Raw genomic sequence first — 12,759 nt, forward strand, 5'->3', positions numbered from 1 at the left:
CTCGCTCTGTCGCCCAGGCTGGAGGGCAGTAGCAGCTATCGTGGCTCACTGCAGCTTCTGCCTTTTAGGTTCAAGCAATTCTCCTGCTTCAGCCTCCCAAGTAGCTGGGATTACAGGCGCCCACCACCACGCCTGGCTAGTTTTTGTATTTTTAGCAGAGACGAGGTTTCCCATGTTGGCCAGGCGGGTCTCAAACCCCTGACCTCAAGTAATCCGCCCGCCTTGGCCCCCCAAAGTGCTGGGATTACAGACGTGAGCCACTGCGCCCGGCCTTGAGTACAGAGGTTTGCTGAGGTTCCAATTTGACTGATGTGGCAAGACTGCCTCATAGGAGGTGTAGCGTCCTCCCGTCAGGATGCGCATAATGTCTGATTGTCACAGACATTATGTCACAGGATGCGCATAATGCTGATGGCAGCAGCTGTGGGTGTGCAGTGCCTGGATCCACGGATTCATTTGGGGTTGCAAAGTGATGGTATTCTCATTCTGTTATTCCTTTTCATTTATTACATGGAGGAGTTCTATGCACACAAACTTTCCCTCATCTCCCATTTGATTACTCAGCGGTGCAATTTGCAAAGAAAAGGAAGGATAAATACTTGATTCTTTCCCCCATAAAAAAAAAAAATGAATTGGCTCACTAGAATTTTCCAGCGGGGACCAGTGAGCATTTAAAAAATATTTTTAACATTGTTATAAACCCATGGATAGAAACATATTTAGTATGCAGTTATTTTTTTATTGATGCCCAAATGGTCCCATCTTTGGCTAGTAGGAGCCTCTTTAAGTTGGTCTTTGCTGTTGCTACTGTTTTTTGAGACAGTGTCTCACTCTGTCGTTGCCTAGGCTGGAGTGCAGTGGTGCAGTCTCGGCTCTCTGCAACTTCTGCCTCCCGTGATTCACGCAAGTGATTCTCCCACCTCAGCCTCCGAGTAGCTGGGACTACAGGTGTGTACCACCACACTCGGCTAAATTAAAAAAATAATAAATTGGGTTTGGCTCGGTGGCTCACGCCTGTAATCCCAGCACTTTGGGAGGTGGAGGTGGGTGGATCACTTGAGGTCTGGAATTTGAGACCAGCTTGGCAAACATAGTGAAGCCCCGTCTCTACCAAAAATACAAAAAAATTATCTGGGCATGGTGGCAGGCACCTGTAATCCCAGCCACTTGGGAGGCTGAGGCAGGAAAATCACTTGAACCCGGGAGGCAGAGGTTGCAGTGAGGCGAGATTGCGCCATTGCACTCCAGCCTAGGCAACAAAGGTGGAACTGTGTCTCAAAAAACAAACAAAAAACCAAAAACGTTATTTTTATAGGGAAGAGAGCTCACCCTATTGCCCAGGCTGGTCTCGAACTCTTGGTCTCTGCCCGGCGTGGTGGCTCACGCCTGTAATCCCAGCACTTTGGGAGGCTGAGGTGGGTGGATCACTTGAGGTTGGGAGTTCAAGACTAGCCTGGTCAACATGGTGAAACCCAGTCTCTACTAAAAATACAAAAATTAGCCTGATGTGGTGGCACGTGCCTGTAGTCCCAGCTACTTGGGAGACTGAGGTTGCAGTGGGCTGAGATCGTGCCATTGCACTCCAGCCTGGACAACAGAGTGAGACTCTGTCTCGAAAAAAAAAAAAAAATCCTGGTCTCAAACCATCCTCCTGAGTCCGCCTCCCAAAGTGCTGGGATTACAGGCGTCAGACACCACAGCGGACTGAGCCCACACTCTTAATCCCTCCATGTGGGGCCTCCTGTTGTGTAGACACAGTCCTCTGGCTTTCATTGTCCCAATAGCCCTCGAGTCCACCCGCCTCTCTTCACCCCTCCACAATTGACCTAGTTCAGGCCAACGTCCCCCCTCACCCAACATCTGCAGTGACCTCCTCACAAGTTCTTGTCCTGCCTGCTCCCAACCCGTGTTCCACCCAGAAGCCATGGAAATCTAAATCTAAACCTTCCTAAGTATAGACCTGATTGGGACACCGTCCCTGCCCATGGCTCTCTGGAGTGTCCACTTTGCCCCTGCCACCCTGGCCCCGCTTCCTCTCCATGGGCAGGCTCAGTCCTAGCTCACCTGGAGTCTTTGCACCTGCTGGTCCCTCGGTCTTGGGGGCTCCCCTTGCCCCTCTCCCACTCCATCTTCCCCTGGTCGGGTCCTCATCCATCTTCAGCTTTTGTTTCAAACCAGGTCCCACCCAGGCCCCTGCGAATTTTCCCACCTTCCCCCCATTCTTTGCCTTCATCATGCTTGTCCCAGCTTATTATTCATTGAATTCTAGGTGTCATTGTCCTGCTCCCTTTTTAGGGGTTGGGTGGGGACCCTCTCTCTCTTGAACCATTGCATCCTTCATCCCTGGCACAGTGCTTGATACAAGAGAGGGGCTGACGTGGAGCTGGCAATGAGTGAGCTGGTGGGGCCCGGCTGGGCAGGAGAGACAGTGCCTAAATGGGCTTCTGCAGTCTGGATTTTCTGGCATGTGGGGGAAGGTAGCCCCCCGTGTGACTCCTCAAAGCCACGTAGTCCTGATTCCCATGTTCCTCCCTGACCCGCTCCCCAATTTGCTCCCACGCTTCTCACAATCATGATCTTTCCTCATCGATCTCCCCACTTTTCTCTCCTTTTTCGCTCTTCCCACTGAAGTTTCCCCATGCTTGCCACGAGCAAGGTGGGAAGGAGGGGCTCCATTTCTCTGTCCCCTGTCCCTGGCGTAGACGCAGCTGTGGTTGAACTCCCATGTCGGGGCTCCAGGCGGCCTGTAGAGGGCAGTAATGCTGCAGCTATGGCCACAGGGAGCGCTGCCTGGATGGGGGAAAGCGGCATCGGAGCAGCTCACAAGCCCTCCGTGGGCATGAGCAAGGCAGACCCCTAAGCCCTCCGTGGGCATGAGCGTGGTGGACCCCTTTGCCCTCCTTTCCCCGGAGATAGAGAAACCCCATCTTTCTGTTAAGTCTGCACACGTTCTCTGCCTCAGGCATAGCTGCCCTGAAAAATTTCTATTTGATAAAATAAGCAATGACTTCAGTATAAAGAACAAAATTTTAAATGTGCGTTTTTCTTTTTTTTTTTTTTTTTTTTGAGATGGAGTCTCGCTCTGTCACCCAGGCTGGAGTGCAGTGGCGTGAGCTCAGCTCACTGCAACCTCTGCCTCCAGGGTTCAAGTGTTCTCCTGCCTCAGCCTCCCATATAACTGGGATTACAGGCGAGTACCACCATGCCTGGCTAATTTTTGTATCTTTAGTAGAGACGGGGTGGTCTCGAACTCCTGACCTCAAGTGATCTACGTGCCTCAGCCTCCCAAAGTTCTGGGATTACAGGCGTGAGCCCTGCGCCCAGCCAAAGTGGTGTTTTTGTCTCCTGGGCAATGTTGAAGGGTTAATAACTAAGACTTTACTAATGTAAGGTGCATGAAGAAAAGTGTCACAAAATATTTTGCAGTTCATCACCTATTCACACTGTGACTTTGATCAGGTCACTAACTTCTCAGTTTCCTCGTTTGTAAAAGGGGATTAAAGATAGGATCTACCTGTGGCAAAGACTTCATACTCATGATCCCTCAAGACCCATTCTCACTTGGTTTTCAGCTGGGGCAAATGGCTACACTGAATAATGACTACATCTCCCAGCCTCCCTTGCAACTATGTGTGGCCATGTGGTACGTTCTGGCCAATGGGATGTGGGTAAAACTGTGGGAAAGTCCTTGAGAGTGTTGCCCTATTTCTCCTCTTTCCGCCTTCCACTGATCTGGATTGCAGGTGCAATGGCTGGAGACGGAGCAGCCATCTGGAACAAGACGTCGTTTTCGGAATGGAGAATGAAGAACATGCAACAAGACAGAAGAAAGTCGTTTTCCTGATACTGTGGACCCATCACACCAGCCCTGCACTACCTCATACCAGATTTTTATGTCATAGAATCTTTTTTTTTTTTTTTTTGAGACAGAGTTTCACTCTTGTCACCCAGGGTGGAGTCCAATGGTACGATCTTGGCTCACTGCAACCTCCACCTCCCGGGTTCAAGCGATTCTCCTGCCTCAGCCTCTCGAGTAGCAGGAACTACAGATGCATCCCACCACGCCTGGCTGGTTTTTTGTATTTTTAGTAGAGACGGGGTTTCACCATGTGGGCCAGGCTGGTCTCGAACTCCTGAATCACTTGAACCCGGGAGGCAGAGGTTGCAGTGAGCTGAGACTGCGCCACTGCACTCCAGCCTGGCGACAGAGCTAGACTCTGTCTGAAAAAAAAAAAAAGAAAATGGTCTGATCACAAACAAATTCACCTAGAAATGATATCATTTGAGTTGTTCTGTTAATTAGTTTTAGCTGACAAAGCTCAGCCTTACACATTTGCATCACATTTGCATGGTATTTTAATTGGGAGGAAAGTCATACATTCTTTTCAATAGCCATGTTTACAAATACATAGCTTAATTGTCCCACATTTGAAACCCAGCTTTCAAAACAATTTTTTTTTTTTTTGCTAGGTCTTATAGGATAGGACTGATCAAAACAATTTAGTCACATTCTTTTCCAGGTCTTTCTCCATTTCCAAAAACGTATCTGGGCATTTTTTTTTTTTCAGGAGCTAATGGTCCTAGTTTAACTTTGTGCTTTGTAACCTATGGATGGGTTCATTTCATTTTTGTATTTTTAGTAGAGATGGGGTTTCACCATCTTGGCCAGGCTGGTCTCGATCTACTGACCTCGTGATCTGCCCGCCTCAGCCTCCCAAAGTGCTGGGATTATAGGCATGAGCCACTGTGCCCGGACAGTATCGTTACTTTTAACATTTAATAACCACAAACATTTAACAATATTAAATATAACATTTGGGAAGAAGATATAATGCCTGTTACTACCCTACATTGATTAAAAAACCAGTAAGTACTAATATTTTAATACTGGGATAAAGCAGTTATTTTATTTTTTATTTTATTATTATCTTTTGAGACAGTCTCATTCACTCTGTCGCCTAGGCTGGAGTGCATTGGTATGACCTCGGCTCACTGCAACCTCCACCTCCCAAGTGCAAGTGATTCTCCTGCCTCAGCCTCCCAAGTAGCTGGGACTACAGGTGTGCGCCAGTACACCCAGCTAATTTTTGTATTTTTAGTAGAGACAGAACTTCACTATGTTGGCCAGGCTGGTCTCGAACTCCTGTCCTCAAGTTATCTGGCCACCTAGGCCTCCCAAAATGCTGGGACTACAGGCGTGAGCCACTGCGTTGGGCCGAACCTGACTCTGACTTTCTCGTATTCCGCTCTGTGTCTCCTTAACAGCTTGAGTTTAGTATTTCTTAACATGGAAGGGGAGCCACCAGTTAATTGCTCATGAATTTTACGCAATGTTGAGTGCGGGAAAGGCTCTTTGAGTGAATCCAAACAGTACCCTTTCTGGGAGAGCAGGCTGAGAACAAGGAACCCGTCCAAGGTCCTCTGGACCTGGTGGCTGAGCAGGACTTTGGGAAAAGGCTTTGCCTGGAGGCTGCACAGCTATGAGGTTGAGAGGGAGGGCCTCCGGGCCACCTGCTGGAATGTGGCTTTGGAACCCACTAGACGTGTGACCTAGAGCAAGTCATGTGACTGCTCGGTGCCTCGGTTTCCTCATCTGTGAAACTGCTATGAATGGTACCCGCCTCATGAGGATTAGGAGAGGGAATGTATTTAGGGTGTTTAGTGCTGTGCTTGGCACTTGGTGATGGTTCAATCGTACACAAATCTTCCGAGATGTTCAGTGCAGGAAAGCATCTTTGGATAAATCCAGGAGGTGCCCTTTCCAGGTGAGCGGGCTGAGGACAAGGAACATGCCCAAGGTCTTCTTGGGTCTGGGGGCTGAGCAGGATTTGCCACTCATTTCAAGGCCATTCCTCTAAACTGCACCCTGGTGATGCTTGTCCTGCAGTCCCGCCTAGATGTGGGCATGGGGGAGCTTGGAGTTTGCAGCCAGGCACCCCCAAGTAAGAATCCGGGCTTCCCCACTTCTTGGATGTGTGATCCTGGGCAATTTGCTTCAGGTGTCTGAGCCTCAGTTTCTCCATCTTTTTACTTTTTGAAAGGAAGTCTTGCTCTGTCACCCAGGCTGGAGTGCAGTGGTGTGATCTTGGCTCACTGCAACTTCTGCCTCCCAGGTTCAAGCGATTATCCTGCCTCAGCCTCCCAAGAAGCTGGGACTACAGGCGCATGCCACCACGCCCATCTAATTTTTGTATTTTTAGTAGAGATGGGGTTTTACTATGTTGACCAGGCTGGTCTCGAACTCCTGACCATAGGTGATCCGCCCACTGTGGCCTCCCAAAGTGCTGGGATTAAGGCATGGGCTACCATACCCAGTCCAGTTTACCCCTCTTTAAATAGAGTGAATGATATTACTAATCATAGAGTCACCATGAGACATAAAGATCATTCATTCGAGCAAGGCACAGTGGTGCACACTTGTAGTCCAAGCTACTCAGGAGGCTGAGGTGGGAGGATTGCTTGAGCCCAGAAATTCAAGTTCAGCATGGGCAACTTAGTGAGATTCCCCATATCTCTCTCAGAAAAAGAGACCACTTATTCATTCATTCATTTATCCAGCAAATATTTGTTTCTGTCTTTCATGAATCAGGAGCCTGTCTAGAGATAAACATTAAAAAATTAGGGAATCATTTAGCAAATTGGAAGAATGTAGGTGCTATAGGGAAAAAGCAGAGAATGGGGAAGAGGTGAATCTTAGATAGCAGTTGAAGATACTCAGTTTACAGCCTAGGCAACATAGTGAGACACTTTCTACCAAAAAAAAAAAAAAAAATTAGCCAGGCATGGTGGGTGGCACGTGCCTGTAGTTCCAGTTACTTGGGAGTTTGATGTGGGAGGATTGCTTGAGCCCAGGAGGTTGAGGCTGCAGTGGGATATGATTGTGCCACCACACTCCAGCCTGGGTAATAAAGTGAGACCTTGCCTCTCTCTCTCTCTCTCCCTCTCTCTCTCCATACACACACACACACACACACACACACACACACAGCATAAGTTGGGTGGCTTAAACAATGGACATTAATTTTCTCACAGTTCTGGAGGCCAGAAGTCTGAGATCAGGGTGCCAGCATGGTCAGGTTCTAGTGAAGACCCTCTTCCTGGCTTGCAGATGGCTGCCCTCATGCTGTGTCCTCACATGGCTAGGAGAGGGAGCAAGTTCTCTGGTGTCTCTTCTTTTTTTTTTTTTTTTGAGAGAGTCTCGCTCTGTTGCCCAAGCTGGAGTGCAGTGGTGTGATCTTGGCTCACTGCAACCTCCACCTCCCTAGTTCAAGCGATTCTCCTGCCTCAGCCTCCTAAGTAGCTTGGATTACAGGTGTGCGCCACCATGCCTGGCTAATTTTTGTATTTTTAGTAGAGACGGGGTTTCACCATGTTGGTCAGGCTGGTCTTGAACTCCTGACGAGCCACTGCACCTGGCCACTCTGGTGTCTCTTCTTAGAAGAGCACTAAGGCCATCACGGGGGCCCCACCTTCATGCCCTGTTCTATCTTATTTTTATTTTTTAAAAATTTAATTATTTTGATTTGAGACAGGATCTCCCTGTGTTACCCAGGCTGGTCTTGAACTACTGGGCCCAAGTGATCCTCCTGTTTTGGCCTCCCAAAGTGCTGGGATTACAGGTGTGAGCCACTAGGCCAAGCCCCTTATGGCCTCTTCTAAACCTAGTTACCCCCCAAAGTCCCCATCTCCTTATACCATCCCATGGGGGGTTGGAAATTCAGTCCCTCAGAGGCAGAATGGGAAACAGCAAGTGGTAATTTTATAAAAGGACACTTCTGCAAAGCCCTGAAGGGGGCGAGGGAGTGAGGAAGTTGTGAGGTGTGGGCACAGAAAGTGCAAATGCCCCAGGGCAGGAATGTGCTGATGGTTTGAGGGTGAGGATGGAAGGCGGTATGGCAAGAGCGGAGTGAGGGATAGAGTTTGCCGGAGTGAGGGATAGAGTTTGCCGGAAGGACCTTGGCTGGGCGAGGTCAAGTTTAGCTGTTGAAAACCATCCACTCGCTGGGCGTGGTGGCTCAGGCCTGTAATCCCAGCACTTTGGGAGGCTGAGGCGGGTGGATCACCTGAGGTCAGAAGTTCAAGACCAGCCTGGTGAACATGGTGAAACCCTGTCTCTACTAAATATACAAAAATTAACCGGGTGTGGTGGTGGGCGCCTGTAATCTCAGCTATTCAGGAGGCTGAGGCAGGAGAATTGCTTGAACCTGGGAGGCAGAGGTTGCAGTGAGCCGAGATTGCACCATTGCGCTCCAGCCTGGGCAACAAGAGTGAAACTTCGTTCCAAAAAAAAAAAATGTTAAAACCATCCACTCATGTTTGTTGGGTGCCAGTTTTGTCCCAGGCACTGTGCTGGGTGTTAGGGACAGTTCAGGGCTCCAAGAACTCAGCCTTGCATTTGGGGGCAGTTGGGAGCTTGCAGATGGGCTTTCTGGGGAGTCCATGGGTCATATTGATACAGAATGGCTGGGGCCCCAGCTAAGCCCCACTCTCAAGCCTGGAACCTCAGCCCTAAGTGAAAACAGCTGACCCTATTTTTCACCCAAATGATTGCCTTTTTGGCCTGCCACACCCCTATCCTGTGCCCATAAAAAGACTTCAGCTGGTAGAGCAACAGGAGCGGCTGATGCAAGTGGTTGGGGATGTGGGCTGCTGAGCCTCAGGGATCCATGCGGCTGAGCGTTGGGGATACAAGCTGCTGAGGCTCGGGGATCCATGCGGCTGAGCGTCGGAGACTGTGGATAGATGTGGCTAACTTCAGGCGGTGCAGCTTCTGGGAAGGATCACCTTCTTCCCATACCATCCCCTTTCCAATTCCCCATCCCGCTCAGAGCCACTTTTATTGTCCAATAAAGTCTTCCACATACACTACCCTTCAAACAGTTCATGTGACCTGATTCTTCCTGGATGCCGAACAAGAACTCGGGTGTCAAAAAGGGCAGGTGCAGGAGGCTGTCACCCTGACCCTTTGCTGAGCTGTTAACACTTAGGCCATCACTTCAGGCTGAGTGAAACGAGTCACTTCAGTTCCTTCCTATGAAGGGGGTCAAGGGAACTATCCTGTCTCAAAACCAGGGTGTACTTCGTGATGAGAAACTGATGCTCTGAAGCAGAACAAATACACCCTTTCAACATCTCGTGGCTTATTTATTAGAAATGACTTTTAGGGTTTTTTTTTTCCCCCTAGGAGTAATTGATGTCCTTTGAGTCTGGGTCTCTTCTCCTCCTGTCCCCGCTGGCAGCAGAACTGGGTTCATTTTCCTTTTCCTGCAGCGCTCCAGGAAGAGCTGCCAGCCTTTGGGATGGATACAGATAATATATTCTTTTGAAGCACAGGCATTTTTATTGTTATTCAAATCTTTAAAATGTTAGTCTATTGAATTTGGAACTTGGATCAGATGGGGCCCCGGGACCAGTTCTTTTCTTTTCTCCTCCCCTCTCTCCCTTCCTGTTCCCCAAGTCGAGTTTTCCCTTCTATTAGCCTCACCAGATGCCAGTTCCTCTCTCTCTCTCTCTCTCTCTCTCTCTCTGTGTGTGTGTGTGTGTGTGTGTGTGTGTGAGAGAGAGAGAGAGAGAGAGAGAGAGACAGGGAGAGAGAGAGAGAGAGAGATTTTCTGTTTCTGATCTCTGTCTATTTCAGTGTCAACTTCAGCAGTGTTGACATTTGGGGGCTTTGTTGTGTGTGGGGAGCTATCCTGTGCACTGTAGATGTTCAGCGGCTTCCCTGGCCTCCACTCACTAGATGCCAGGAGCACCCCTTCCACCTCCAAGTTGTGAGCCCCTCTCCCAAGTGTCTCTAGACATTGCTGAGGGAGCCCTGGGAGGCACAGTCGCTCCCAGCTGAGAAGGAGTCTGTTCTCTTCTGCATCTCCCGTTAGCTTTGTCCCTGGTGATCATAAGCCAGTAACTGGGGACTGAACTGTCCTCGAGGCTGGGAACTCAAGGCCACACTGCATCACCCCACCTTTCTCTGATTCGGGGCAGCCTCCTCAGCTCCTCCAGGCCAATCTGGGGGATGGAACTCTGATCTGGCAAAGAGTGGGAATGAAGAGAGGGACCAGAAAGAGCTTTCTGCTAAGTGCTCCCGTTGTGGGCCCTGGAGCATGCACAGTGATCCGGGCCTGGTTAAAACTGGAGCTACAAGACCAGGCATGATGGTTCACATCTGTAATCCCAGCACCCTTGGAAGCAGACGAAGGCACATTGCTTGAGCCCAGAGTTTGAGACCAGCCTGGGCAACGAGGAGAAACCCCATCTCTATGAAAAATGTAAAAACTGGCGGGGCATGATGGCGCCTGCCTGTGGTCCCAGCACTTGGGAGGCTGAGGTGGGGGCATCGAGGCTGCAGTGAGCTGTGATTGCGCCACTGCACTCCAGCCTGAGCGACAGAGCGAGCCTCTGTCTGAGAAAACCAACAAAAACCATCTGGAGCTTCCTGGGCTCACCTCCAGCCTCTGGTGATCCATTTGAGGCCATTGTTTTGGGCTTTGAAAACATTCAAGTGATAGTGTTGTGTGTCCCATGTCCAGGATTCCAAAATGTGCCTCAGTAGGTGACTGTCCACTCTGCATGGGCTGCCTGCCTGTCGCTCTCAGGACCCTGCCTTTGCGAATGTCCATTCCATAAGGGCCGAGGGTCTCCTGAGTTTTTATGGCTTGGGCTCTGGCCTGTACCCTACTCAGTTATTTGGGACCAATCACATATAAATTCTAAGCTATTAGGCTGTAGCAGGAGAACATCATTGGCCGGGCGTGGTGGCTCACGCCTGTAATCCCAGCACTTTGGGAGGCCGAGGCAGGCAGATCACAAGGTCAGGAGATGGAGACCATCCTGGCTAATATGGTGAAACCCCGTGTCTACTAAAAATACAAAAAATTAGCTGAGCGTGGTGGCGGGTGCCTGGAGTCCCAGCTACTTGGGAGGCTGAGGCAGGAGAATGGCGTGAACCCAGGAGGCAGAGCTTGCAGTGAGCCGAGATCACACCACTGCACTCCAGCCTGGGCAACAGAGCGAGACTCTGTCTCAAAAAAAAAAAAAAAAAAAAAAGAAGGAGAACATCATTGTTCTCAATCCTGAATTCTCGGGCTAGAGCCCTGTGAATTAGATGAACAAAAGACTGGTGAGTAAGAGAAAAACAAATTCATGGACACGGGCATCAAATTTCCACTCGAGAGCACTCAGCCATGGGAGTGGTTAGAACTTGGGCTTCTAGAGCAGTGTTTCCCAACCTTTTTGGCACCAGGAACTGGTTTTGTGGAAGACAATTTTTCCACGGACGGGGCAGAGTGGGGGATGGTTATGGGATGATGCAAGCATGTAACATTTATTGTGCATATTATTTCTATTATTATTACATTGTAATATATAATGCAATAATTATACAACTCACCATGATGTAGAATCAGTGGGAGCCCTGAGCTTGTTTTCCTGCAACTAGATGGTCCCATCTGGGGATGATGGGAGACGGTTGACAGATCATCAGGGATTCGGTTCTCATAAGGAGTGGCCAGGTGAGGTGGCTCACGCCTGTAACTCAGCACTTTGGGAAGCCAAGGCGGGCGGATCATTTGAGGTCAGGAGTTCGAGACCAGCCTGGCTAACATGGTGACCACCCTGTCTCTACTAAAAATACAAAAAGTAGCCGGTTGTGGTGGCGCATGCCTGTATTCCCAGCTACTTGGATGGCTGAGGCAGGAGAATGACTTGAACCCGGGAGGTGGAGGTTGCAGAGCTGAGATGGCACCACTGCACTCCAGCCTGGGCGACAGAGCAAGACTCTGTGTCAAAGAAAAAAAAAAAAAAAGATTCTCGACCAGGCGCGGTGGCTCACGCCTCCTGTAATCCCAGCACTTTCGGAGGCCGAGGTGGGCGGATCATGAGGTCAGGAGATCGAGACCATTCTGGGCGACAGATCAAGACTCCGTCAAAAAAAAAAAAAAAAAAAAGATTCTCATGAAGACTGCACCACCTAGATCCCTCGCATGTGTAGTTCACAATAGGGTTCGAGCTATGACGATCTAATGGGGCCACTGATCTGGCCGCTGATCTGACAGGAGGCGGAGCTCAGGCAATAATGCAAATGATGGGGAGCAGCTGTAAATAACAGATGCAGCTTCACTTGTCTGCCTGCTGACACCTCCTGCTGTGTGGCCTGGTTCCTAAAGGGCCAGGAACTGGTATGGGGACCCCTGTTCTGTAGCCTTTTCACAAAAGAACAATACTTTGTAGAGAAGTGACAAGAGAAAGGAAAGTGACTTTGGAGTTTCTGGGGCGGCGAATTGTGGAAACACAGCTATATTGGGGAAAGTAATGGTGGGAGGGGCTTATTACTCAGGTTTGCTGTGTAGATACCTCCAGGCTGATGAGGGGCTAGACTTGTTCCAGGGATTAGCTCCTGTCCTTCCTGGTAGAGAGGGGGAAGGGACACCTTGACAAATGTATGTCCTGCTTTTAGGTAAATAGAGGGACAGCAGGGAGCTTTTCTGGTATCTGCTTCTTCTCGATTGCCTAAAATAATAAGGCAATTGCCTTAAATAATAATGAGCTTAAAATAATCCTTATGCCTACGTGGCATATTTTGGGGTGGTGTATGCTGCTACCCTTCAAGGCGAGCAGTGCTGCCCTAGAAACCCTCGTCCCTCTGTCCCACGTGTGGGCAGACTCGCTATCCCGGACACCGCACACAACACTCCCTCCCTGCAGACGCCTCTCCGCAGCGTGCTCACCTCCCTCTCCCTGAATTGCCACGTGTGGCCCTGCCTG

At 49.6% G+C, this 12,759-nt stretch overlaps 2 annotated features.

Annotated features, from left to right (window-relative positions):
* Positions 222-722: an enhancer, noted in NCBI's record as "H3K4me1 hESC enhancer chr16:9230549-9231049 (GRCh37/hg19 assembly coordinates)". NCBI's record gives its function as "activates a minimal SCP1, AML or CMV promoter by ChIP-STARR-seq in naive H9 embryonic stem cells {active_cell/tissue: H9 hESC(naive)}" and the evidence as "EXISTENCE:reporter gene assay evidence [ECO:0000049][PMID:30033119]".
* Positions 12,188-12,759: an enhancer, noted in NCBI's record as "H3K4me1 hESC enhancer chr16:9242515-9243086 (GRCh37/hg19 assembly coordinates)". NCBI's record gives its function as "activates a minimal SCP1, AML or CMV promoter by ChIP-STARR-seq in primed H9 embryonic stem cells {active_cell/tissue: H9 hESC(primed)}" and the evidence as "EXISTENCE:reporter gene assay evidence [ECO:0000049][PMID:30033119]".

The sequence above is a fragment of the Homo sapiens genome, chromosome 16 (assembly GCF_000001405.40).
Source record: "Homo sapiens chromosome 16, GRCh38.p14 Primary Assembly".
NCBI classification, from domain to species: Eukaryota; Metazoa; Chordata; class Mammalia; order Primates; family Hominidae; genus Homo; species Homo sapiens.